The sequence below is a fragment of the Homo sapiens genome, chromosome 19 (genome assembly GCF_000001405.40).
Source record: "Homo sapiens chromosome 19, GRCh38.p14 Primary Assembly".
NCBI classification, from domain to species: Eukaryota; Metazoa; Chordata; class Mammalia; order Primates; family Hominidae; genus Homo; species Homo sapiens.
Genome location: NC_000019.10, coordinates 56505257 through 56530212, shown reverse-complemented (window position 1 = coordinate 56530212; position 24956 = coordinate 56505257). Strand labels below are relative to the sequence as shown.

Genomic DNA, 24956 nt, shown 5'->3' with positions numbered 1-24956 from the left:
TTTTTTAAGCTTTATAAAGTTTATGTAGTTAATAACGATGTCATCATGTTAGTCATGAAGTTACATCTCAGTTCATAAACTGCAAGACATCTTTGAGTAGAGATCCATCTCATTTTCCGTAACTACACAGTGATCTACTAAACTGATTTTCTGTAACTTAAGTAACCCATAACTTTAATAGCACTAAACATTTTTTCCAAATTTTTCACAATTCTGCAACACATTTGCTTATGCATCTATATTTCTGCACTTGTGCTTTTTGAGAACATAACTGACTAGGTGTAGAATTGTGGCAAAGGGTAATTATATTCAAAATGCTGACAGGTAACACCACATTGCCCTCTAAAATGGCTTTCCTCTAATTTACCCTCTCAATATTTGAAAATACGGTTTCTCACACCTGCGACAATACTGGATATTATCCAAACTTCACATTCACATAAAATTTCTGCTGGTTTGTGTTGGTGGGGATGAGGACTTTTACAATCTGCACTTATCTGATCATTAGTGAGGTTGAGAACTTCTTCTATTTAACCATTTTAATTTCTTCATCCAATAAATTTTGTTGACATGCTCTGCAAGACTGTGCACCTTATCCTTGCTGCTTTCCAACAGCCCTTTTTCAAGGGCTATATCCTTTCTAATGTATGTTTAAGATATCTCTCAGCCTGTCATATGCCTTTTAACTTTGCATACAGTATCTTACGCCATGAAAAAGGTTTAAATCTTCTACACAGTCCTGTCATTCTCTCTTCATGGCTTCTGGACCTTGTCCTGCTTATCAAAGACCTCCTGAACCTAAAGGCACAGAAATACTCTACATTCTCCTCTACCATCTTAACCTCTTACATCTGTAATGAGTATAGAATGAACTTCTGTGTAAGGAGTCAAATGGGATGCTGACTTTATTTCTAGTTGGACAACTGTCAAAGACATTTAATCTCCCCCAATGATACATCGAAAACACTTTTCAAATATAAAAAACCCATGGATACGACCTTCTACAAAACCTCCCTTCTGATTCCTGCCTAATTAACACTCAACATGAATTTCAGAACTGTCAATGTAAAAGTAACTTACAGGATTACAATATTGAAACATTCATGTAGGATCATGTTATGGATCTCCATTTATTCACAGCCTCTGTTCTCCATCAGCAGAGGCTAATAATTTCCTTTTGTATATAACTAAGTAAACTCACCTATAATTTCATTTCTTTCCCCTTGGTTTGATATCAGAGTTGACTTAGCCTCATGAAAGAAGTGGAACATTTTAAGTGTTTTTTTTAAAAAAAATATACTCCAGAACAACTTTACTAGTGGAACAACTTTACTTGGAAGGTTAGAATAAATCTGTGAACCCACATGTTGAAATAGAACTATATTATTCAATTTCTCTTTCTTCAGTTAAACATTAGTGATTTTTTTTTACTTGACTAAATAAAGTCTTGTATATATTCCCCGCAGGAATTCTAATTCTTTTGTTCGTTTTATCCAGAGCTATATAGCCACTTCTTAAAACATGTTCTATTTATCAAGTCATAATTAATTTCCTCACCAACAAGGGAACACAGCCTTAATCATGAGACAGCCGCTGTGATGTCTTATTATAATATTAAATGTTAAGCATACTACATGTGCTAATCACCATCTACCTTAAGATACTGTTTTAAGTCAGGCTGGTTGCCTGTAATTGCAGCCACTTGAGAATGAGGTGGGAGGGTCACTTGAGCACAGGAGTTTGAGACCACCCTGGGCAACATAGAAAGACACCATTTAAAACTTTTTTTTTAGCTTAAAAAAAGATACTGTTTTGGTTCCAAAATTTTTATGACTGCCATACTGCTTTCAAGAATGCACTGTTTAAAAATAATTTACATCAATTCTGGAGAATACTTATCTAACATTTACTAAGCACTTAGTATGAGTTGGTCATTTTGCTAAGCACTTTATGTACATCAAGTATTTTAACTAGAGTTTTAAGAGTAACTTAATTTGCATTTTTGAAAGGTCACTGTGGCTGTAATGTTAACTCGAAAGGGACAAAAGAGGATGAAGTTTTAGAATTCATGGGTATGCAACCCATTGAATGTGAGGACTTTTTTGCTTATCGGAGGTGGTGTATCACTAAAACTATGCACAGACTTTTTTTTTTTCTTAGCTCATCAGCTATTGTTAATGTTAGTGTATTGTATGTGTGGCACAAGACAATTTTTCTTCTTCCAATGTGGCCCAGGGAAGACAAAAGGTTGGACACCTGTGTAATGATTGAAATAGTCCAGGTGAAATGACTGTGTTTTGGACTGGGGAACCAAAAGAAGTGGATAAATTCCAAAAATATTTAGCAGATATATCCACAGGACTTGGTGATGTAGTGGGTGAGGAAGAGCTGGCTGCCTGAAATGAACTCACTAATGAGCAAGGTGTGCATCTTGTCTGAGGACATTTGCACATTCTTTACATTGTTAAGACCGCTCTGCAGTATGAATTCTTCCCTGTAAAGCATTCAATCTGGCTGAAGGTTTTTCTTCTGTATGCTTCACGAAGTTCTCATGCTGTGTTTTTCAGCTCCATCAGGTCATTTATGTTCTTCTCTAAACTGGTTATTCTAGTTAGCAATTCCTCTAACCTTTTTTCAAGGTTCTTAGCTTCCTTGCATTGGGTTAGAACATGCTCCTTTAGCTCAGAGGAGTTTGTTATTTCCCACCTTCTGAAGCCTACTTCTGTCAATTTGTCAAACTCATTCTCTATCCAGTTTTGTTCCCTTGCCGGCAAGGAGTTGTGATCCTTTGGAGGAGAAGAGGCATTCTGGTTTTTGGAATTTTCAGGCTTTTTGCACTGGTTTCTCCTCATCTTCGTGAATTTATCTACCTTTGGTCTTTGATGCTGGTAACCTTCAGATGGGGTTTCTGTGTGGATGTCCTTTGTTGATGTTGATTATATTCCTGTTAGTTTTCCTTCTAACAGTGAGGCCCCTCGGCTGCAGGTCTGCTGGAGTTTGCTGGAGGTCCACTCCAGACCATATCTGCCTGGGTATCACCGGTGGAGGCTGCAGAACAGCAAAGATTGCTGCCTGTTCCTTCCTCTGGAAGCTTTGTCCCAGAGGGGCACCCACCAGATGCCAGCCAGAGCTCTCCTGTATGAGGTGTCTGTGGACCCCTGCTGGGAGGTGTCTCCCCGTCAGGAGGCATGGGGGTCAGGGACCCACTTGAGGAGGCAGTCTGTCCCTTAGCAGAGCTCAAGCGCTGTGCTGGAAGAACTGCTGCTCTCTTCAGAGCTGGCAGGCAGGAATGTTTAAGTCTGCTGAAGCTGTGCCCACAGCCACCCCTTTCCCCCACGTGCTTTGTCCCAGGGAGATGAGGGTTTTATCTGCACTTTTTTCAAAGATGCGCTGCCCAGAGAGGAGGAATCTAGAGAGGCAGTCTGGCTACAGAGGCTTTGCTGAGCTGTGGAGGGCTCTGCTCAGCTGGAACTTCCCCATGGCTTTGTTTACGCTGTGAGGGGAAAACCACCTATTCAAGCTTTGGTAATGGTTGGCGCCCCTCCCCCCACCAAGCTTGATCATCCCAGGTTGACTTCAGACTGCTGTGCTGGCAGGGAGAATTCCAAGCCAGTGGATCTTAGCTTGCTGGGCTCAGTGGGCATGGGAACCACTTGGCTCCCCGGCTTCAGCCCCCTTAACAAGGGAGTAAGCGGTTCTGTTTCACTGGCATTCCAGGTGCCACTGGGCTATCAAAAAAACTCCTACAGCTAGCTCGGTGTCTGCCCGAATGGCCGCCCAGTTTTGTGCTTGAAACCCAGGGCCTTGGTGGCATAGGCACCCAAGGGGGATCTCCTGGTCTGTGGGTTGCGAAGACCATGGGAAAAGCGTAGTATCTGTGCCGGAGTGCACCATTCCTCATGGCACAGTCCCTCATGGCTTCCCTTGGCTAGGGGAGGGAGATCCCCGACTCCTTGCACTTCCCAGGTGAGGTTACGCCCCACCCTGCTTCAGCTCACCCTCCGTGGGCTGCACCCACTGTCTAACCAGTCCCAATGAGATGAGCCAGGTACCTCAGCTGGAAATACAGAAAGCACCCACCTTCTGCGTTGATCTCACTGGGAACTGCAGATCAGAGCTGTTCCTATTCGGCCATCTTGCCAGCCTCCTGGCTGAAGGTTTTTCTACATTTCTTACATTTATATGTTTTTTATCCAGTGGGACATCTCTGATTAACAGTAGGGGATTGGTGATAACTAAAGGCTTGGCCACATGCACTACATTCTTAAGGTTCTTCTCCAGTATGACTTCTTTGATGACAAATTAAGGATAACTTTCTTCTGAACGCCTTCCCACATTCAAAACACTGATAGGGCCTTTGGCCAGTGTGGAGTCTTTGATGCTGAGCACAGGATGAGCTATCACTAAAAGCCTTTCCACATTCAGTACATTTATAGGGTTTCTCTCCAGTATGAATTCTTTGATGTTGAGTAAGATTGGAAGTTTGGCTGAAGGCTTTCCCGCATTCATTACACTCATAAGGTTTCTCTCCTGTATGAGTTTTCTGATGTTGGGCAAGGTGTGATCTCTGTTTGAAAGCATTTCCACATTCAATACATTCATAAGGCTTCTCTCCAGTATGAATTCTCTGATGAGTAGCCAGCTGTGAACTGATTCTAAAAGCTTTTCCACATTCTTTACATTCATAGGGTTTTTCACCAGTATGAATTCTCAAATGACTAACAAGGTGTACATTCTGCCTAAAGGCTTTCCCACATTCCTTGCATTCATACGGTTTCTCTCCAGAATGTACTCTTTGATGCTGAGTGAGTGATGCATGATGGCTAAAATCTTTCCCACATATATCACATTCATAAGGTTTCTCTCCTGTATGAATTCTCTGATGTACAGTACGGGATGAACCCGAGCTGAAGGTTTTTCCACACACACCACATTTGTAAGGTTTCTCTCCTGTATGAATTCTCCTATGCAGAATAAGTCCTATGTGAACACTGAAGGCTTTCCCACAATCAATGCAATTAAAAGGCTTCTCTCCAGTATGATAACTCCTCCAGTGACGAATAAAAGATGTGTTATACCTAAAAGCCTTCCCACACTCAATACATTCATAGGGTCTTTTGCCAGTGTGACATCTCTGATGTCGAGCAAAAGACGAGCCATCACTGAAGGCTTTGCCACATTCTTTACATTCATAGGGTTTCTCTCCAGTATGAATTCTCTGATGCTGAGCAAGGTGTGCAGGCTGTCTGAAGGCTTTTCTGCATTCCTTACATTTATATGGTTTTTCTCCAGTATGAATTCTTTGATGCTGAATAAGGTGTTCACTTTGTTTGAAGGCTTTCCTACATTCTTTACATTCAAAGAGTTTCTCTCCAGTATGTGTTCTGTGATGTTGAGCAAGGTGTTGCCTTTGCTTGAAGGCTTTTCCACATTCCTCACATGCATATGGTTTTTCACCAGTATGAATTCTAAAATGAACAGTAAGGGATGAGCTATGGGTGAAGGTTTTGTCACATTCATTACATTTAAAAAGCTTCTTTCCTACATAGACTTTCTTGTGTTTTATTACCATAGAATTTTTGGAGAAGCTTTTTTTATCTGATGTGTGATTATAAATACTCTCTTCTATGTTTTCCAGATGGATACATTTCCCAAATTTAGTATATTTGAATTCTGTTTCCTTAGTGATGGTTTCTTTATGAGTGATTATTTCTTTCTTGCTAAACATCTCATGACTTCCCATCTGCTTCTCAAAAAGGTCTTCCCATTTCCAATTTTCTTCAAAAGTGGAACACTCAAGTCCATAGCTAGTAATTCCCTCCATGCATGCATCATCATACATGAACTGCTTCAGAGGTAATTCCTGTGTCACATATATAGATTCCCAATCTGAAAGATATTAAAAAAAAGTGAATGTTCCCTTTATCATGGGCTACAACAAAGGAGACATTGTGAAAAAGGTAATTTAAAAATATTTAATAAATCTCACAAAACCTGTTATGTACAGGCATGTCAACTGGAAAACATTCAGGGAGACCCCAAGAAAGACAGCTCATGAAGGAACATGGGAGAGGTGACTAAGAAAGCGAAATGGGCTAGGTGTAGTGGTTTAGGCCTATAATCCCAGCACTTTAGGAGGCTGAGGTGGATTGCTTGAGCCCAGGAGTTCAAGACCAGCCTGGGCAACATGGCAAAACACCATCTCTGCAAAAAACACAAAAATTAGTCAAGCATGGTGGTACATGCCTATATTCCCAGTTACTCAGGAGGCTGAGGTCAGAGGATCACTTGAGCCCAGGAGGTTGAGACTGCAGTGAGCCATGATTGCCCTACTGCACTCCAGCTTAGGCAACAGAGCAAGACCCTGTCTCAAAACAAAAACAAAAACAAAAAACAAAAACAAAAACCTCAATGTAGGATGAAATCCTAGAGAAGTAGTCTGCAATGGTAATATTTCATGCCTGTATTGACCTAACAGACTATAAATTAAGCTCTCTTCATCTACTCTCTTCCACTTGTAATTGGTTTTCATATACAGTTATGTTAACTTTGTTTAAATACCAATATCGTATCACTACTGCTGCTGAAAAGTCTCTGGAGATCTCCAGTAACCATATACCCTATGGCTTGTGATTATCTTAGGATTTAGGTGAAATCCTATGGTTATCTTTTCATAATGTGAAAATGGTGTTCCTATGAAATCATCTACATGTTTCAATACAGCAAACTCTCCAATTCTCAGAGTTCCCTGAACTTTAATCTGCATATTAAGAGATTTTCCCTTTCATCTTACTTTCAACAGCCTGGTAAAATTATCACCTCTTAGACCACCTTTTTATAAAAAAAAAAAAAAAAGAGGGTTTCACTCAGTTGTCCGGGCTGGAGTGCAGTGGCATGATCATGGCTCACTAACTCCTGGGCTTAAGCAATCTTCCCACCTTCTCTTGAGTAGCTAGGATTACAGGTGTGAGCCACTGCACCCAGCACCTTAAGCCACTGCTTAACAGGGTTTTACCATTTCCCCTTTTGAAGAAATGAATTTTATAATGATATGTAGGTTGATATAACTACTATTAATCACATTCTTATTTACTACCACGAGTAACTTTCTTAACTCCTGACCTAGAATATAAGTTTACAGAAGGAATAAATGTGCTTTAAAAATTATTGCAACATCGGCCAGGTGCAATGGCTCATGCCTGTAATCCCAGCACTTTGGGAGGCCAAGGCGGGCATGTCACCTGAGGTCAGAAGTTAGAGACCAGCCTGGCCAATGTGGTGTAACCCTGTCTCTACTAAAAACACAAAATTAGCGGGGCATGGTGTCACCTGCCTGTAATCCCAGCTACCTGGGAGGCTAAAGCAGGAAAATTGCTTGAACCCAGGAGGCATAGGTTGCAGTGAGCCAAGACTGTGCCATTGCACTCCAGCCTGGGTGACAAGAATGAAACTCCATCTCAAAAAAAAAAAAAGAAAAAAAGAAAAAATATATTGCTACATCACTTACCATAGATAGAAGAAATCTGGGCATATATACAAAGTTATCAGTAAAATATAAAGAAATTTGTATTGAAGAGATGATACTGAGAGAAAACCTGAGGGAAAAGGTGGTTTCAAGAAAAGGCAAAGGAAGGGCTTTCCTTTTCTATGTCATCCATAGCAAATCATCGACTAATCCAATATTTCCTAAGCAATTATACATTATGCACTAAGCATTTGTGATATCAAAGTAATGAAGGAATTGTTCTTGAAAAGTTTAGAAAGTAATTTAGGAAGACAAGACCAACAAAAAAAGTTTTGAGAAGATAATACAAAACATAATCAAGTGTGAGATAAAGATTAAATTGTTATAAAAGTTCAGAGATGGGAGAGATCAAATCCACTAGAGCAGTCAAGAAAGGTTTTGAGGTATTAACATGCTTTGTAGTCCAGGTCTTCATGGTATCAGGAATATCCAGTGTCTTGAATAACTTGGGTTGCTATAACAAAATAGTCTTGTGTCACTTAATGATGGAGAAATGCTCTGAGAAATGCATCATTACGGATGGGCAATTACAGAGCGTACTTATACAAACCTTGATGGATGGTGTAGCCTGCTGCACACTTAGGCTATATGGCCTACTGCTCCTGGTCTACAAGCCTGCACAACATGTTACCACTGAATACTATAGGCAACTGAAGCACAATGGTATTTTTGTATCTAAACATATACAAACATAAAGAAGGTACAGTAAAATATGCTATGAGGACATTTTATATATATTTTTTGAGACAGGGTCCCCTCTGTCATCAGGCTGGAGTACAATGGCATGATCATGGCTCACTGCATCCTCAAACTCCTGGGCTCAAGTGATCCTTCTGCCTTAGCTTCCTGAGTAGCTGGGAGTACCAAGTGCATGCCACCATGCCCAGCTAATTTTTTATTTTTAGTAGGGATGAGGTCTTGCTGTTGCCCAGGCTGGTCTGGAACTCCTGCTGAACCAATCCTCCCACCTCAGCCTCTCAAAGTGCTGCGATTATAGGTGTGAGCTACCATGCCCAGCAATAGAAGAGTTTTTTTTTTTTTTTTTTTTTGAGACAGAGTCTTGCTCTGTTGCCCGGGCTGGAGTGCAGTGGCGCAATCTCGGCTCACTGCAAGTTCTGCCTCCCGGGTTCATGCCATTCTCCTGCCTCAGCCTCTCGAGTAGCTGGGACTACAGGCACATGCCACCATGCCCAGCTAATTTTTTTGTATTTTTAACAGAGACGGGGTTTCACCATGTTAGCCAGGATGGTCTCAATCTCCTGACCTCGTGATCTGCCTGCCTCGGCCTCCCAAAGTGCTGGGATTATGGGCATGAGCCACCACGCCTAGCCAGAAGAGATTTTTTTAAAGTTATACCTGTATAGGGCAGTTCCATCATAATCTTGTGTGACTGTCTTATATGCAGTCCATAATGGATAGATACATTGTTTATGTGGCCCATGACTGTACCACATAGTGGGTAGCTTATTGATGTGGTTTGGCTGTGTCCCCACACAAATCTCATCTTGAATTGTAGTAATACCCACATGTCAAGGGTGGGGCCAGGTGGAGATAATTCAATCATGGGGGCAGTTTCCCCCATACTGTTCACTGGCAGTGAATAAGTCTCACGAGATCTGATGGTTTTGTAAATGGGAGTCCCCCTGCACAAGCTCTCTCCTGACTGCCACCATGTAAGAAGTGACTTTGCTCCTCCTTTGCTTTCTGCCATGACTGTCAGGGCTCCCCAGCCATGTGGCACTAAAAGTCAATTAAACCTCTTTCCTTTATAAACTACCCAGTCTCAGGTATGTCTTTATTAGCAGCTTGAGAACAGACTAATACACTTACAAACAACACTTATAACTAAACAGACTAATACACTTATAAAAAATTAGCCGGCCATGGCTAATTTATTTCTCACAGATCTGCAGACTGGGAAATCCAAGATCAAGGCCCATGGCATGGGCTGGCTTTCTCACAGATGGTGCCTTCTTCCTGTTTCCTCACACAGTGGAAGGGGCAAGGAAGCTCCTTTGGGCCTTTTATAAAGGTAATAATCCCACTCATGAGCCCTCATGACCTAATCACCTCCCAAGGTCCCCACCTACCACCAGCACTCTAGAGAAGATGATTTCAACATGAATTTCAGGGGCACACAAACATTCAGACCAGGGCACCCATGCTTCAAGAATTGAGGCAATGTGGGGTTAATGAACTAATCACCTATAATTTTTCCTACGTAGACAGACTGAAGAGAACAATACTAGAAAAAGACACAGAATGCTGAGTCCATCATCTACTGTTTTCTCACATTTTACTTTTTTGTCACATGAAGATTGTCTTCAACTCCAATTTCCTACAGAGAGCCATGGTTGTTCCTCATTTCCTGGCCTTTTTTAACAGACACTAAGATATCTTATGCATACAATAATACTTATATCTACACATTGACTCAGCATCCCACCAGACTTATAGCTTCTTCCTTTTCCCCTTTTCCCTTCTTCCACTTGTTCTTCACAGGGCCAATTATCAGGAAAGTTCTTTTCTGTTTCTCTATTTGAGGCAGATGGCATCTTCATACAAAACCAAAGTATAAAGTACATCCAAGCAGGGTCTATTTCCCTTCTGATGTGTGGGTATAGTCATCCCTCCTTATCCACAGTGGACACATTTCAAGACCCAGTGGACGCCAGAAACCCGGAATGATACTGAACCCTATATTCACTACACACAACAGATCTGAAAAGCTAGACGAGACTAAGAGACTAAAAGGCAGGTAGGGCATACAGCATGGATGTGCTAGACAAAGGGATGATTCATGATCTGGGCAGGACAGAACAGAAAGGTGCAAGACTTCGTCATACAACTCAGAATGGTGCACAATTTAAAACATATAAATTGTTTACTTCTGGAATTTTCCATTTAATATTTTTGGACAGTGGTGGACTGTGGGTAACAAACTGCAGAAGGCAAAACCTTGAATAGGGGGACTATTGTATTTGGAGGACACGGGAAATTTAGGATCCAAATTATTCCAAAAGATCAAACACTGTTACAGAAGGGAAAGGAGAATGCTTTAAGCCATAATTGTAAGGGCATATATTGATATGCCCTTTTCTTTTGGAACTTTAATTTCAGTGGGAGAGGCAGAATATAAGCATTAAACATAAGCAAGTTAATTGTAGGCTTTCCTGAGTGTTAGAAAGAAAATAAACAGTGGCTTGGTGGACAGTTATTGGGTTGGGATGGGGAAATGTTCATCACATAAGGTGGTTAGGGAAGGCCTCTGATGAGATGATTTTTTAGCTCTGATTTGATATTCAGGATAGACAGACCCCAGGAGAGGAACACTCTGGGTAGAGGAAACAGGAAGTGCATATGCCTGAGTCAGTAAAAAGCTTGGTGAGTTCAGAAAAGTTGACCCTAATATGACATTTGTAAAACACAGGTGGAGCAGGCAAAAGAATGATACTGCCTGTGACTCAGAGGCAATCAGATTTGGAATTACCTCTGGAGCCATCTAGTCTCCCAAGGCTCTTGAGAGACTCAGTAGCTTGGTATACCTGTAACTCACTTGAAACATACCCTGGGTATCTCACATAATTTAGCAAACTCTGGACTAAAGTATAATGAAAAAGCTAAAAAGTAATAAAGAATGAGGTTATAGAAGTAGGAAGGAGCTGATCAGGAAGAGGCTAACAGGGTTTAGATTTTTCCTATCTGCTACAGGAAAGGAATGAAAGAGCAGCAGGGTACATTATAATTTGTAAGCAGTACCTAATTCAAGAGTTAAGAAAAGATTTAAGAAACATAGAAGTTTATATAAGTCTGTATGGCAAAGCGAAAGACGGGATGGTAAGGAGCTGGATAATGATTTTTGCAAAACAAAAATCTTAGAGATTTAAGATTCTCTAATCTCTACAGAATATTAGTTCTTAGAGAGAAGACAGTCAAGTGGAAGAGAAGATATTTGAGGGGCCCATGTGAAGCATAAAGTTTCAGTTTTCTCTCCAGGCCTGTAAGGCTTATGAAGAGTTTCTGAGATGCATAAGTGAGAAGGTATCACCTCTAAAAATGGCTGAGCCATTATGTCAAAAAGATTCCCCTCTCTGGTTCTTCCACACTCACCTGAGAATGGGCTTCTTGTCATCTCACTCGTCATCTCCCAAGGCTCTCTCCCTTGCTCCAATAAGGAGATCACATATGGCTTAGAAATGCAAAGACCTACATATAAAAAAAAGACATGAAAATTGGTCATGTTTTGGGTTATTTCAGAACTAAAAGCCAGTACCTTAATTCTGGTGGAATGATATAGTAGGAATACTAGATAAGAGATAAAGCACATCTGAAGGACAGACTACATAAAACTCTGGAATAGCCTAGTAAGACTGCTAACAGTTAACTCTGTGAACTATTTTATGAGGGGCTTGAGGGCAGAAATTTAGCCCAACATTTTCTGAATATTATCACACAGTAGTAAATGAGGTATTTTAAAAGGTCCCTAGAAACAGTTTGAAGTTTTGAGATAATTGCCTGCTTTAGAAAAAAATCAATACTCTTTAGGGGAATATGACAGAATCCAGAGGCTCTACAATGTTTTATTTAAGTATACATGATAAAATTCAAAATTACTTGACATAAGAAAAGGAAAAAGTGAATCATGCCCATTAGAAAAAGCAAGCAATAGACGCTCACACTGCAATAACGAAGAAGAAATAGCACATGATTTAAAAACAGCTATTATTATATCAATACTTAAGAATATAAAGGCAAATATGCTTGAAATAAATGTACACACAGGATATCTCAGAAACGAAACTACAAGAAGAACCAAATAAATATTATATAATTTAACAAATATAACATCTGAAACTTAAAAATTCACTAGATGCACCTAACCAAACATTGAGGGTAAGGATAGAGTCAGGGAATTTGACTATGAATCAACAGAAATTATCCAATCTGAGCTGGGCACAGTGGCTTACGCCTGTAATCCCAGCACTTTGGGATGCTGAGGTAGGCAGATCACCTGAGGTCAGGAGTTCAAGACCAACCTGAGCAACATAGTGAAACCCTGTCTCTATTAAAAATACAAAAATTAGGTCAGGCACAGTAGCTCACACCTGTAATCCCAGCACTTTGGGAGGCTGAGGCGGGCAGATCACGAGGTCAGGAGATCAAGACCATCCTGGCTAACATGGTGAAACCCCATCTCTACTAAAAAAATACAAAAAAATTAGCCAGGTGTGGTGGCAGGCACCTGTAGTCCCAGCTACTCAGGAGGCTGAGGCAGGAGAATGGCGTGAACCCAGGAGGCGGAGCTTGCAGTGAGCCGAGATGGTGCCACTGCACTCCAGCCTGGGCGACAGAGCGAGACTCCGTTTCAAAAAAAAAAAAAAAAAAAAAATTAGCTGGGTGTGGTGGTGGGTGCCTGTAATCCAGCTACTTGGGAGGCTAAGGCAGGAGAATTGCTTGAACCTGGGAGGTGGTGGGCCAAGATTGCGCCACTGCCCTCCAGCCTGGGCAACAGAGCAAGACTGTCTCAAAAAAAAAAAAAAAAAGAGAGCGAGAGAAAAATTAAAATTAAAACAGAACAAAGATTTTTAAAAGTGAAACAATCCTTAGTTACCTAGGGCACAATATCAAACAATCTAACATAGGTGTAACTGAAGTCCAAAACAGAAAAGAACAGAAAAAAAGATTTGAAGAAATAATGGCTAAAAATCTCCCAAATTTGGTTTAAGATATAAATTTAGTTTCAAGAAGCTCAATGAACCACAAGCATAATCAAAAGGGCTTCTGGAGAACAGAAAGCTAATCTAGCCAATGGGGTGGCCCCAGTGCTTAGAAGAAAGGTCCATAGGAATTTCCCTAACAGTAAGTGATCTGAAGCCATTTTCAGTTTGTGTCTTCAGTTTGTTACTTAATACAAAGATACAGATTTTAAAAGTGATATTCTGAATTTATAGTAATCTAGCTATATATTCTTTGTGAACCTTGTTGTTGTCTAGTGGTGATAGTAATTCTGTAGGAGAGAGAGAACAAGGAAACTGAGGAGACTGGTGAGATTCACATTGTGTCTTGTGTTCCCAATTGCCTTAAGGGTGTATGCATGGAATATTTGATATTCTCCAAATTCACTAACTCTAAATCTCAAGTTTTCTTCAGTCCCTCAATATCCTCTGTTTCTCAGATTCCATTCCCAAATTCCATTCTGACCTACATATAATAAAAGCAAATTTAATAATATATAGACAAAAAAGTTCCTTAAAGGTAGATTATGCAGGAGGGAAAAGATCCTCACCAAGTGATACCAGGCTCTGATAGTTCTCCAACATCATACTCCTGTATAAACGCTTCTGAGCAGGGTTCATCCATTGCCATTCTTCCTGGGAAAAATCTATTGCCACATCCTTGAATGTCACTAAGTCCTGAAGTGACAAATATATTCTTAACCAACCAATGCTCGTGTCCAAAGATAACTCTGAGTTGATCCAAAGTGTCTCTACTTTAGGTGAGAAATAACTCATAGAAGAGAAAAAACATAAATAGGAAGATCCAAGCCAAAACAGTACTTATGGAAGTGTTTAACTGCATTGGGTACAATGGGGCCAATCGATTCCGAACATAGGGAAATATGGGTGCATAACTACAAGGCAGTGAAGACGGCTTCAAGGGAGAACACACACCTGTGTTGAATCTTCAAAAGCATAAAAGGAATATCTAAACTGATATTTTTCAAATGATACTCCATGGGATCCAAGTTTTATTGGCAGGGGCTGGAGAAAGGCATTGAACTAATGTAGCTGATTTTTTTTTCTTAAATAATAAAAACATGTTTAAGAATGCAATTTTCTTAGGTCTGCATCAGTGAATACTGTGTTTTCCACCCACGGTTGGTAGAACCCACAGTTGCAGAACAAAATGAAATTGAAGTTATAACTTTTAAATATTCTTAGAGAAAAATTAATGACCAGTTATAATCACCAGCAGCTTGTAAGAAATTTTAAAAGTTATTGTGGGCATTTTTCACCTTCAGATTTACTTCCGTTGAAAATGAATATCTTCTTAATCTTAGTGCCTGATTTGCAAAGTTATCAAAAATATAACTAAAGACAAGGTTATGAGCACATTTTAATTCGCTTTAAACAGTAATCTCTGTATCATGTCTTTGTTCTGAAGATTAGTGTTTAAAAGCACATTTTAAACAGATATTCAATGTACGGGACTTTAGAAGATATACATACCTTTAGGAAAATGTTTAATATATTTTTCATATAAAAGAATTACAAAATTGTTTACATTTCTCTGTGTACTCACAGTTTTACTGAATTCTAGTTTTCACCTTCTAGTGAGTTGAGAACTAAGAACCATCATTTCACATATTCTTATAAAATGAGATGTATTCCTCAATGCAAGCAAAAGGTGTTCACATTCTTTCCAATATTTAGGATAATTTTGCTGACTATTAAGGACAGAGGAGCTTTGGCTGTTCCCACAGAAAAAACTGCTTTTGATCCTGGTACTTATGGTTAGTAATCTAGTATATATACTACCAGAATTTTACCAATATCTATAGAATAACTTTACATATATGTATGCATGTATATGTAGTGATTTTTTTTAACTGATAATGCTATAACCAATGAAGTAAATCCCAATGGATAGCATCTGAAGAGCTTGTAATTCTTTTTTCTTTTTAAGGACACAACCATTTATTGCAAGGTATCAGATAATTTATGAAATTTCCAGGAGGATTAATACTGAGTAAGTGACTAAATTAAGACTAAATAAATAAATGAGGAAAATAGGCAAATATCTCATTTAGAAGATCTTTCAAATGATTTATGTTTGCCCTTAAGGAGGTAGAACATAATTTCCCACTTCTGGAGTGTAGGTTGTGCATAGTGACTTCCTTACAAACAGTACAGTATGGAAAAGTGAGGGAAAAAAGAGTAACCTTATTATAGAGAAACCTGACAAACACTACCTCAAAGTTAATTAAGTTAACATCTATTAACATCAACAGTAATAAATCATGTTTACAGTGTGCACCCCTGATTTGATGTGATGAAAAAGGAACTTTACCTCTGCAGTCTTCCTCCCCAAAACACAGTACCCTAGTCTAATCATGAAAAAGCATCAGATTTGAGACATTCTACAAAATAACTGAGTATTCCTCAAAGCTGACAAGGTCATCGATAAGCAAAGTATGAAAAACTATCACAGCTAAGAGGAGTCTTAGGAAATATGACTATTAAATGTAATGTAATTTCCTAGATAGAATCCTGGCACAGAAAAAAAACATTAGATAAAACCTAAGAAAGCCTGGCCGGGTGCAGTGGCTTACACTTATAATCCCAGCACTTTGGGAGGCCAAGGCCGGTAGATCACTTGAGGCCAGGAGCTCAAGACCAGCCTACATAGCATGGCAAGGACAACATGGCAAAACCCCACCTCTACCAAAAATACAAAAATTGGCTGTGCATGGTGGTGCATGCCTATAATCCCAGCTACTCGAGTGGCCGAGGCACGAGAATTGCTTGAACTGGAGAGGCAGGTTATAGTGTGCTATGATCCTGCCACTGCACTCCAGCCTGGGTGACAGAGTGAAACTCTGTCTCAAAAAAAAAAAAAAAAAAAAAATTAAAAAGTTAAAACAATGAAAGAAAATCTAAACTAAGCACGGACTTTAGTTACTAATAACATATCAATATTGGTTCATTAATTTTAACAAAAGTACCACACTAATGTAAAATATTAATAGGGGAAGCTTGGTGTGGTATAAGATTTCTCTACACTATCTCTGCAATTTTTCTACAAATCTAAAACTATTCTAAAAAATAAAATTTATTTTTTAAGTAGACCTTCTCAAGAGGAGGACATCAAAGCTTCAAACTATCTTTTAAAAATATATAAAGTCTAGCACTAAACCCAAAATGAGGCATTTAAGACAAAAAACAAGATAATTTTCAAAACATCACAAAATAGAAACACATAAGAGATCCAGATAATGGAATTATCCAACAAGGATACCAAAATATTATGATAATATTTTTAAGGAGCTAAAAGGAAAGGTAGTGAATTCAGGAAGAAAATAGAAAATTACATAAAACAATTAAATAGAAATTCTAGAACTAAGTATGCAATAACAGAAGTTAAGAATTCCATTATGGGCTTAACAGGAGATTAGAGAATTAAAGAGAGAATTAAAGCATAAGTGACATATAAAACAGTGTCAGTTATGTATATAATTGTGATCTTAGAAAAAGAGGAAAGTTTCAGAATATTTGTGGTTGAAAAATTTCCAAATTGATGAAAGACACCAAGCTACGCTGAACACTGACTTAAAACAAAAATAGTGAATAATGTTTACAGTCTATCAAATAAGCATGTGTGTGTGCATTTCAGGTGGTGGGGTTAATGGACTGCATCTTTATCATCTATAGTAGTAGGTTACTGGATCATTTCTAAAACTAAAATAATCAAGAAATAGTGTATGGAACATTATTCAGGAGTATGAGGTTAAATATCAAAACTAAAGACAGTAAGTTGTATTGTGGAGATCCCAACTTACTTCTATAGGGCAAATTGGAGGGGACTAATTCTGTTGTGTATGGTGCTTGTGACTTCAGGTAGAATTTTAATGACAACATGAGGCACACAAACTAAAAGGTCTGTATCTTTGGAAAATTATGTTAGGTAACTCACAAAATGGTTTTAATGCTGAGGAAGACACAGATGCCCAGAATCCATGTAAATGTTTTTTAATATCTCATGAACTCTGACAGCACAAGAAAAAAAAGCAGTGTTTCAAAATTAATTTAACGTAACTTTCCATATGAAGCATATAAATTAATTAAGCATTAATTATGGACATCTGACACTCATGTATGTCATGAAAACACATTTTCCACTTAGAAAAAATGTGAGGAGGGGAATTTCACAGTGGGAGAATTAAGGATTCCTTTTTATACATTGTTTCTTATACATGTGCAATATAATATTTAAAAATTAAAAGATTAAAAGCAGAAATTCAAGTAAAACTGAGTGTAGTACAGCAACAGAACCAAATACACACAGGAATTTAGTGCATGATATAGGTGGCATTTCAAATTAGTGAGAATGAGATGAATAATTCAATTAATGCCATTGTGCCAACTTGAAAAAATAAATCTCTGCCTCACTTATTATAAATTATACATGTAATGTAAAAATGTAATGTAAATTAAATGTAAAAATCTAATGTAAATTAAATTTAACATAAAAAGTTAATGTAATTTCAGCCCTACCATGATAGAAAACCACAAAAATCAAGTCTAAGCTTACCAGAAACTTAACTGTGAAGGATAAAACAAATCTTAGAAGAAAAATAGGACCTAAAGGTAGACAAAAATTTCATCAACAAGACACGAAAAATCATTAACTTTGAAGGGAAGAAAGTATTTTTGTATACACGCAAAGGCATAACATAGCTCTGAATGAGATACATGGTGAGAATAACTTCTTAAAATAACTGGGAGTTAAGGGTGAAATTTGTTTGTAAATTTTGTACCATGTCAACTTCTCACCTATTTAAATTTATAAAATTTGCAAAAATTAAGTAGAATAAGATTTTTCAGGTGAACGAATGAGGTTGGTAATTCATACTTAAAATGTAAAGAAAAACTTTTAAAGAATTTATCTTAAGGACATAATTAGAGATTTGGAGAAAACTTCAGGTAGAGGAATAATTCCTAATGCATTCTATATATAGGAAACGCACTGCATGCACATTTAACCTGGAGCCCAACTCACTAGTACTAACATATCCACATGTATATTCCACACAACATAAATCAAGTCTTTTCACAAGAGTCAACACTAAATTTAAAATGTACACAAGGTGGGAAGAGGAATCTCAGAGGGACCTCCATGACTTTTTATACTAAGCTATTACTCACTCATTAGGTAATTAGAGTTAAAGACAGTGGCCCCTGAGAGAAGTGGGAACTAGGCTCCTGGACTGTTAATCAGGGAATTTTCAAAAGAAAAGAAGCATTACAAAAAGTCCTAAACAGCAAGACTGCCTTTCATGAAGAGAAAGAAAATATCCACTAACCTGGGGCATGACTTTTACTACTTCAACATTCATTTTTGCCTTCTCTTCTGGTCTTTCTCTTGAAGAACAGTGTCTTGGGAGGGCAAGGCTGAAGGAAGGGAAAGGTTAGAGAGAGATGAGGCCAGAGATGCTGCACTCCCAGAATCACTAGCCTAAAACTGTCTTCTTCTTCCCAGCTTTGGTTGATCCCATAACTGGGTATGAGCAACCTATGGCCACTGAAGGGCTAAAACTCATAACGGTTTTTTTTTTTCATGCTTGAGGTCCTAAATTTAATCTTTTTCAAAGAGCTACCTTCCCATTCAGATGCATTAGGTACTCTGCATAGATTAGATTATCTCACTTTATTTTTCAAATAATCCTATAAAATAGTCATTTCCTCCATTTTACAGGTAAAGGTGGAGTCATTCTCTTCTTGGGTCTCTGCTTCATGCTTTGAAAGTCTACTGTTTGAAAATCTGGCTCCTTTCTGGGCCAGATGGATGGGGTTTTTGGGAAAAAAAAAAAAACAAAAGAAAAAGGAAAATCTGACTCCCAAATGCCACCAGAGGCCAGGGTTATCCTCCTTCTTCACTCAATCCCCACCACTGCATCCCTGACCCACCCCCCGGCACTGTTTCACTTTCCTCACCCTGAAACGATGGAACCTTTAGCACTCAATTCTGCCACTTTCACTCTCACCTCTGTCCCAGCCCCTTAATTACCCTCCTGTCACACAGAAGTGAGGGTGTCTCCTGCTTCAGTTAGGAGCTTCAGTCACCCCAGCTTTGCTTCTTACTGAAACCCTTGGACTGGGGACAGGAATTCTATTCCACATTTCCTATCCCGGCAACACACAATTCCAAACAGCCACACTCATAAAGAATCCAATCCTATCAATCTTCCAAGTAGTCTCTCCATACACAGCAGTCATACAGGGCCACAATTATGGGTATACAGGGTGACATACAAACACTAACACAGGTTTCATGGTCACACGGAGGACACAATCACAAGCACCCCAAAACAAGCACATATACACAGTCACATTTCCATTGCCTGAGGACATGAATATAAGCACACGTGGTGATTCACCAACACCTTCACACATACCCCCAATCTTACTTCTCTCACACACACAGCTCACTGTCCCTTATCTCTGTCTCACTCACACATGCATGCTTCACAACCTCACAGAGGTTATATTTGTAAAGCCTTTTGGATAACACACCATGGTTCACATAGTTTCTTTCTCACCCATTTTGGTCTCTCACACAACCACATCACTAGTCTTTCTCTCCCTCTTTCACACATATAAACATGATGGTCTCTCATACATACACATTCAATGGTATCTTTCAAAGAGGCCTCAGTTACTCAAATGCTCCAGTGTCTCACACAGATACACAAACACACTCTGATCTCTCATATTCCAACTGCTTTATCTCATGCACACAAAATACATACTGGTCACTCTCACTCCAATCTTTTTCATACTGTGATACACCCTCTCACAACCTACCAGTCCAGACAGAGACATACTCTAGTCTCTCACATACCCATTGGTCTCTCACACACTCACACCAACATACCCCAGTCTCTCCCAATCACTGAACTCTCAGTCTAGTCTCTTGCTTTTACTCAGACACACACATGATCTTTCTCAGACTCCAGGGAGCCTCATACTTGTTCATCTTTCACACAGGCACATCTATTTCTCTCACACATTGATATACCCTGGTCTCACACTCTGGATTCTCACAATCCAGTCCCTGATAACACACTCAGGTGACAAAGAGGAAAAACAAACTGTTTCTCCTACTCCACTCACACAACACAAAACAGTTCTAAGACCAGATGTGTGGGGATCTACACACACACACACACACACACACACACACACACACACACCAGGCAAGCAATAAGTTCTTCAGTGAATACCAGGTGGGTGACCTCTAGGGCAACCCAGTGAATACCAGGTGGGTGACCTCTAGGGCAACCCAATTCTGACACTATCTACCTGGAGACAGCATAAGATCCCACAGGTTGAGGGCTCAGCCCTACAAAATTGCTCCCCACTTCCAATGCCAGTTGCAAACCCCAGGTTGTTTTACTTGTGCTTCTGACTAGCTATAAATCGGGGTTCCTATGACCCCCTCCTTGCGTTCAATTAATTTGCTAGGGCAGCTCACAGAACTTAGGGAAACACGTTTGTAGTAATAAAGGATATTACAAAGGATGCAGGTGAAGAAATGCATAGGACAAGGTTATATAGGAAGGGGCTCATCCTACAGGAACCTCCAGTGTTCAGCTATCTGGAAGTTTGATGAACCCAGTCCTTTTGGGTTTTTATGGAAGCTTCATAATGTAGGCATGACTGGTTAAATCACTGACCACTGATGATCAGTTTAACCTGTGGCTCCCTTTCCTTTCCCTGGAGATTGAGGGATGGGGCAGGTAATCCCAACCCTCTAATCCTGCCTAGATTGTTCTTGTGACCATCCCTTACCGTGATCAACCTACAGGCTGCCAGCCCACCAATCATTAGCATGCAAAAAGACACTTAATACTTTGGAGATTCCAAGGATCTTAGAAGTCGTAAGCCAGGAAACATAACTTTGTCCTATACTTTGATCGCCTCCCTCTCTCTCACAAACTCATAACAACATAACCTAGTCTCACTCTTTGGACTCTCACAGTTTAGTCTCTTTCTCTCTCTCATACACACACACCAGCCTCTCAAGGAGCCTCACATAATGACTGGTCTTTCACACACAGCCACGTGCTCATCTCTCTCACACTCACTGGTCTCACGCTATGTTGTCTCTCACACACGAACACACCCTGGTCTCACACTCTGGTCTCTCTCAGTCTGTCAGACACACATAACACGGCCTCACACACTGACGGGTCTTTCACCCAAAACACCCATTTCTCACACTCACTGGTCTCCCTTTCACACATTAACATACCACAGTCTCACACTCTGTTCTTGCACAGTCTAGTCTCGCATACATGGTGATTCTTCTCTCTCTCGAACACACACCGGCCTCTCATTGAGCCTCACCCACCGACCGACCGGCCTTTCACACACAGGCACACGCCCATCTCTCACACTCACTGGTCTCTCACACTCCATCCAGCCCGTCTCACTCTCTCACACGAATACATCCTGGTCTCACGCTCTGGACACCTGGTCTGTTACACACTTACACACCCACACACCTCGCAACCTCTCACTGAGCTTCACACGCTCTCTTTCAAATGCAGGCACATCCCTATCTCTCTCACACTCACTGGTCTCTCACACTGGCCCGTCTCGCTCTGTCACACACGAACATACCCTGGTCTCACACTGGACTCTCGGTCTGTCACACACACACACACACACACACAGAAACCACACCCTCTCACGGAGCCTCACACTCTGACAGATCTTTTACACACAGGCACACCCCCATCTCTCCCACAGCTCACTCCAGTGGTCCCGCCGCCCCAAGCCGCCCCGAACGCCCAGCAGCCCCGAGCCGCGGCCTCCGCCCCGCAGACTCGAGTACGCGCGCCCCGCTGGCCTCTGGGAAATGTAGTCGTCCTGGGGACAGAGGACGCGGCTGGGCCTTCGCGACCCGCGTCGGAGCCGCCCGCCTCGCCTGCCCTTCCTGGCCCAGCCCTCGAGCTCGGACTCCCAAACCACCCAAAACAAACCCCCGGCCTCGTCTGGCACCCAGACGCTCTCATCCGAAGGACTCCGTGAGTCGACGCTGGAACCCCCCATCGCGCAGGCGCCAGCCTCTCTCCAGGGGTCGGACGAGAGGGGCGGAGACAAGGCGTGGCCTAGTGTTGAGGGGATTGTCCTCGGGCTGCTGAAGGAGTGAGAGGGACCTTAGAGCAGAGCGGGCGGTGCCTGCGCAGTGCGTGATTACGCGAGCCGGGCGTGGCCCAGGGTTCCGGCGGGTAAGAGCAGGAGTGTGCGCAGGCGCAAAGATTGCGCTCTCCCCCTCTCCTCGCCTAGAGACCAGAAGCGTCCCTAGTTACTAGTTCCTGGGGCCTGGGAGGGAAACGCGCGACGGCTGAGCCTTCGGTGTGAGTACGCGTGGGGCTTTGTGACGCTGTCTGTGCCTCTGTGATCGCGATGTCATTCGGAGCGCGGCCTTCTGTGCCAGTCCGTGGGAGTGTCATTATCTTTCTGTGTTAAGCTTATTTTGGAATAAGACAGCGACGAGGAACCCCGACCGTGTTGTGACTCTGGCGAATTAATACCTCTTTCAGCTGCAAATGGGAATGTCACTGATCAGAGGCAGTGAATAACACGACGTTTTTGGAACCAATCTGCTAGGCTTGAACCGCGTTCAGCCCCTTAACAAAATGGAAATGGTCCCCGTTTTAGGGGACTAGCCCTGACTAGGAGAACTGTAGAATTAGTATTGGAAGGTGAGACAAATAAGGAAAAGCAATTCAGGGGGATACAGCAGAGAAAAAAAAATCCCTGTCCTCTTATTATGTAATTTACTTTGAAGCGGAGAGAGACAAGCCACAAATTCATGAGTTAGATAAACAGTCTGATGAACAGTAAAAAGGGCTATGGAGAAATATAACTCAGAGAAGGTTGTATCGTATACATTTTTTCTATTGTCTCTTATAATGTCTTAACATGTCAAAAAAACCTGTCTGCAGCAGACACCAGCCAGGTGACCGCTACTCCAATTCAATTCTGACGCTACCTGGAAAACATCAGATCCTACAGGTTAGACAGCTCAGTCCCAAAAGACTGTCCCCCACTTCCCATGCCAATTCCAAACTCCAGATTGTTGTACCTGTGTTTCAGAGAGATGTGCTATAAATTGGGGCTCCCACAGCCGGCTCCTTGGGTTCCATTAGTTTGCTAGAGCAGCTCACAGAACTCAAGGAAACACTTATGTTTACTGGTTTATTATAAAAGATATTTTAAAGGATACAAATAGCCAGATGAAGAGACATGTAGGGCAAGGTCCGAGAGAATCCCTAGTGCAGGAACTTCTGTGCCCGTGGAGTTGGGGTGCACCACCCTCCCAGCACGAGGATGTGTTTTTGTCTACCTTCTTGGAAGCCGCTTGAACTCAGGCCTTTTCGGTTTTCAAGGTTTCATTATGTAGATGTGATTGATTAAATCATTGGCCACTGGCGATCAACTTAATTTTCAGGCTCTCTCTTTTCCCAGAAGTAGAGGGTGGAGCTGTGAGTTCCAGTCCTCTGAGCACATGGCTGGTTCCTCTGGCAACTAGCCACCACTCCCCCCAAATATTGGGATTATCTTGAGAGTTTCCAAAAATCACCTCATTAACATAAACTCATGTGTGGTTGAAATACTGTCTTTCACCTTTATGGCTCTGGAGCTGTTCTGGAGCTTTTTCAGGAACCAGGAACAAAAGGCCAGATATTTTAACAAAAGATACTTTATTGCTGCAGTCATTTAGGAAATTAAAAGAGCTGTAGGAACTGAGAGCCATGAACTGTACCTTTCTTTCTAACTCCACATTCAGTGATGTCATATTGGTAGATTGAAATCCACCACAAGGGGACTATTTACAGTATGGAAATACAGTCTACATCGCTAAAGGATGGAGATACATTCTGAGAAATGGGTTCTTAGGCAATTTCCTAAGAACCTTGTTGTGCAAACATCATAGAGTGTACTTACACAAACCTAGATTGTGTAGCCTACTACACACCCACACTCACTCAGACTGGGACAACTTAGACATACCAGTTAACTTACTGTGCACATCTTTGGGATGTGGGAGGAATCTGGAGTACCCAGAGAAAACCCATGGAGACATGGTGAGACTAGTCAGATTGCATTAGGACCCACCCTAACGACCTCATTTCAACTTAATTAACTCTGTAAAAATCCTATATCCAAATACAGTCACATTCTGAGGTACTGGGAGTTAGGACTTCAACATGCAAAATTTGGGGCAGACAAAATTCAACCAATAACAAGAGATTATTTTGATTCTTCTGTCCTCATTCATCCCACCAAGGAAGTAAGGGGTATTTCCATTATCATACTATATATTAAATTATCATTACATTACATATATAATGTTTTCTTTATCTAATTTTTACTTTATATATACCACATTTTTGTTCATGGGCCATCAAAGGTATTATCTCACATAATTCTTGTAAAAATAAAATTGAATAACTAACTTTACAGTTGAAGATTTAAACAATAAGGGACTTTTTCCAAAGCCACACATCTAATAAGTTTCAAAGGTATTACTCTAATTCAAGTTTCTTCTTTCCAAATTCAGAACTCTTTCCATCCTGTAACAGTGCACTATTTTTAAGCTTAACTCCTTTCTGAAGAATATCAAATTTAACAACAGT

General features: G+C 40.5%; 1 protein-coding gene across 5 annotated transcripts, besides 1 other annotated feature; it reads right to left on the bottom strand.

Annotated features, from left to right (window-relative positions):
- Positions 1-22358, bottom strand: ZNF471 (zinc finger protein 471). 5 transcript variants are annotated; one of them, XM_011527148.2, is made up of 5 exons: positions 19240-22358; positions 18609-18696; positions 13812-13938; positions 11636-11731; positions 1-5889 (listed from the first exon to the last, which is right to left on the bottom strand). In XM_011527148.2, the coding sequence occupies exons 2-5, from the start codon at positions 18639-18641 to the stop codon at positions 4265-4267; spliced, it is 1881 nt and encodes a 626-aa protein (XP_011525450.1). In that variant the 5' UTR covers positions 18642-18696; positions 19240-22358; the 3' UTR covers positions 1-4264. The 5 variants fall into 5 exon arrangements, with proteins under 5 accessions (XP_011525450.1, XP_047295085.1, XP_047295084.1 ...); XM_047439129.1 differs by having other exon boundaries at positions 19290-22358; XM_047439128.1 differs by having other exon boundaries at positions 19313-22358.
- Positions 3366-4565: an enhancer, noted in NCBI's record as "P300/CBP strongly-dependent group 1 enhancer chr19:57037017-57038216 (GRCh37/hg19 assembly coordinates)". NCBI's record gives its function as "activates an origin of replication core promoter dependent on BRD2, BRD4, P300/CBP, MED14 and CDK7 cofactors, with strong dependence on P300/CBP, by STARR-seq in HCT116 cells {active_cell/tissue: HCT116}" and the evidence as "EXISTENCE:reporter gene assay evidence [ECO:0000049][PMID:35650434]".
- Positions 22359-24956: the final 2598 nt, after the last annotated feature.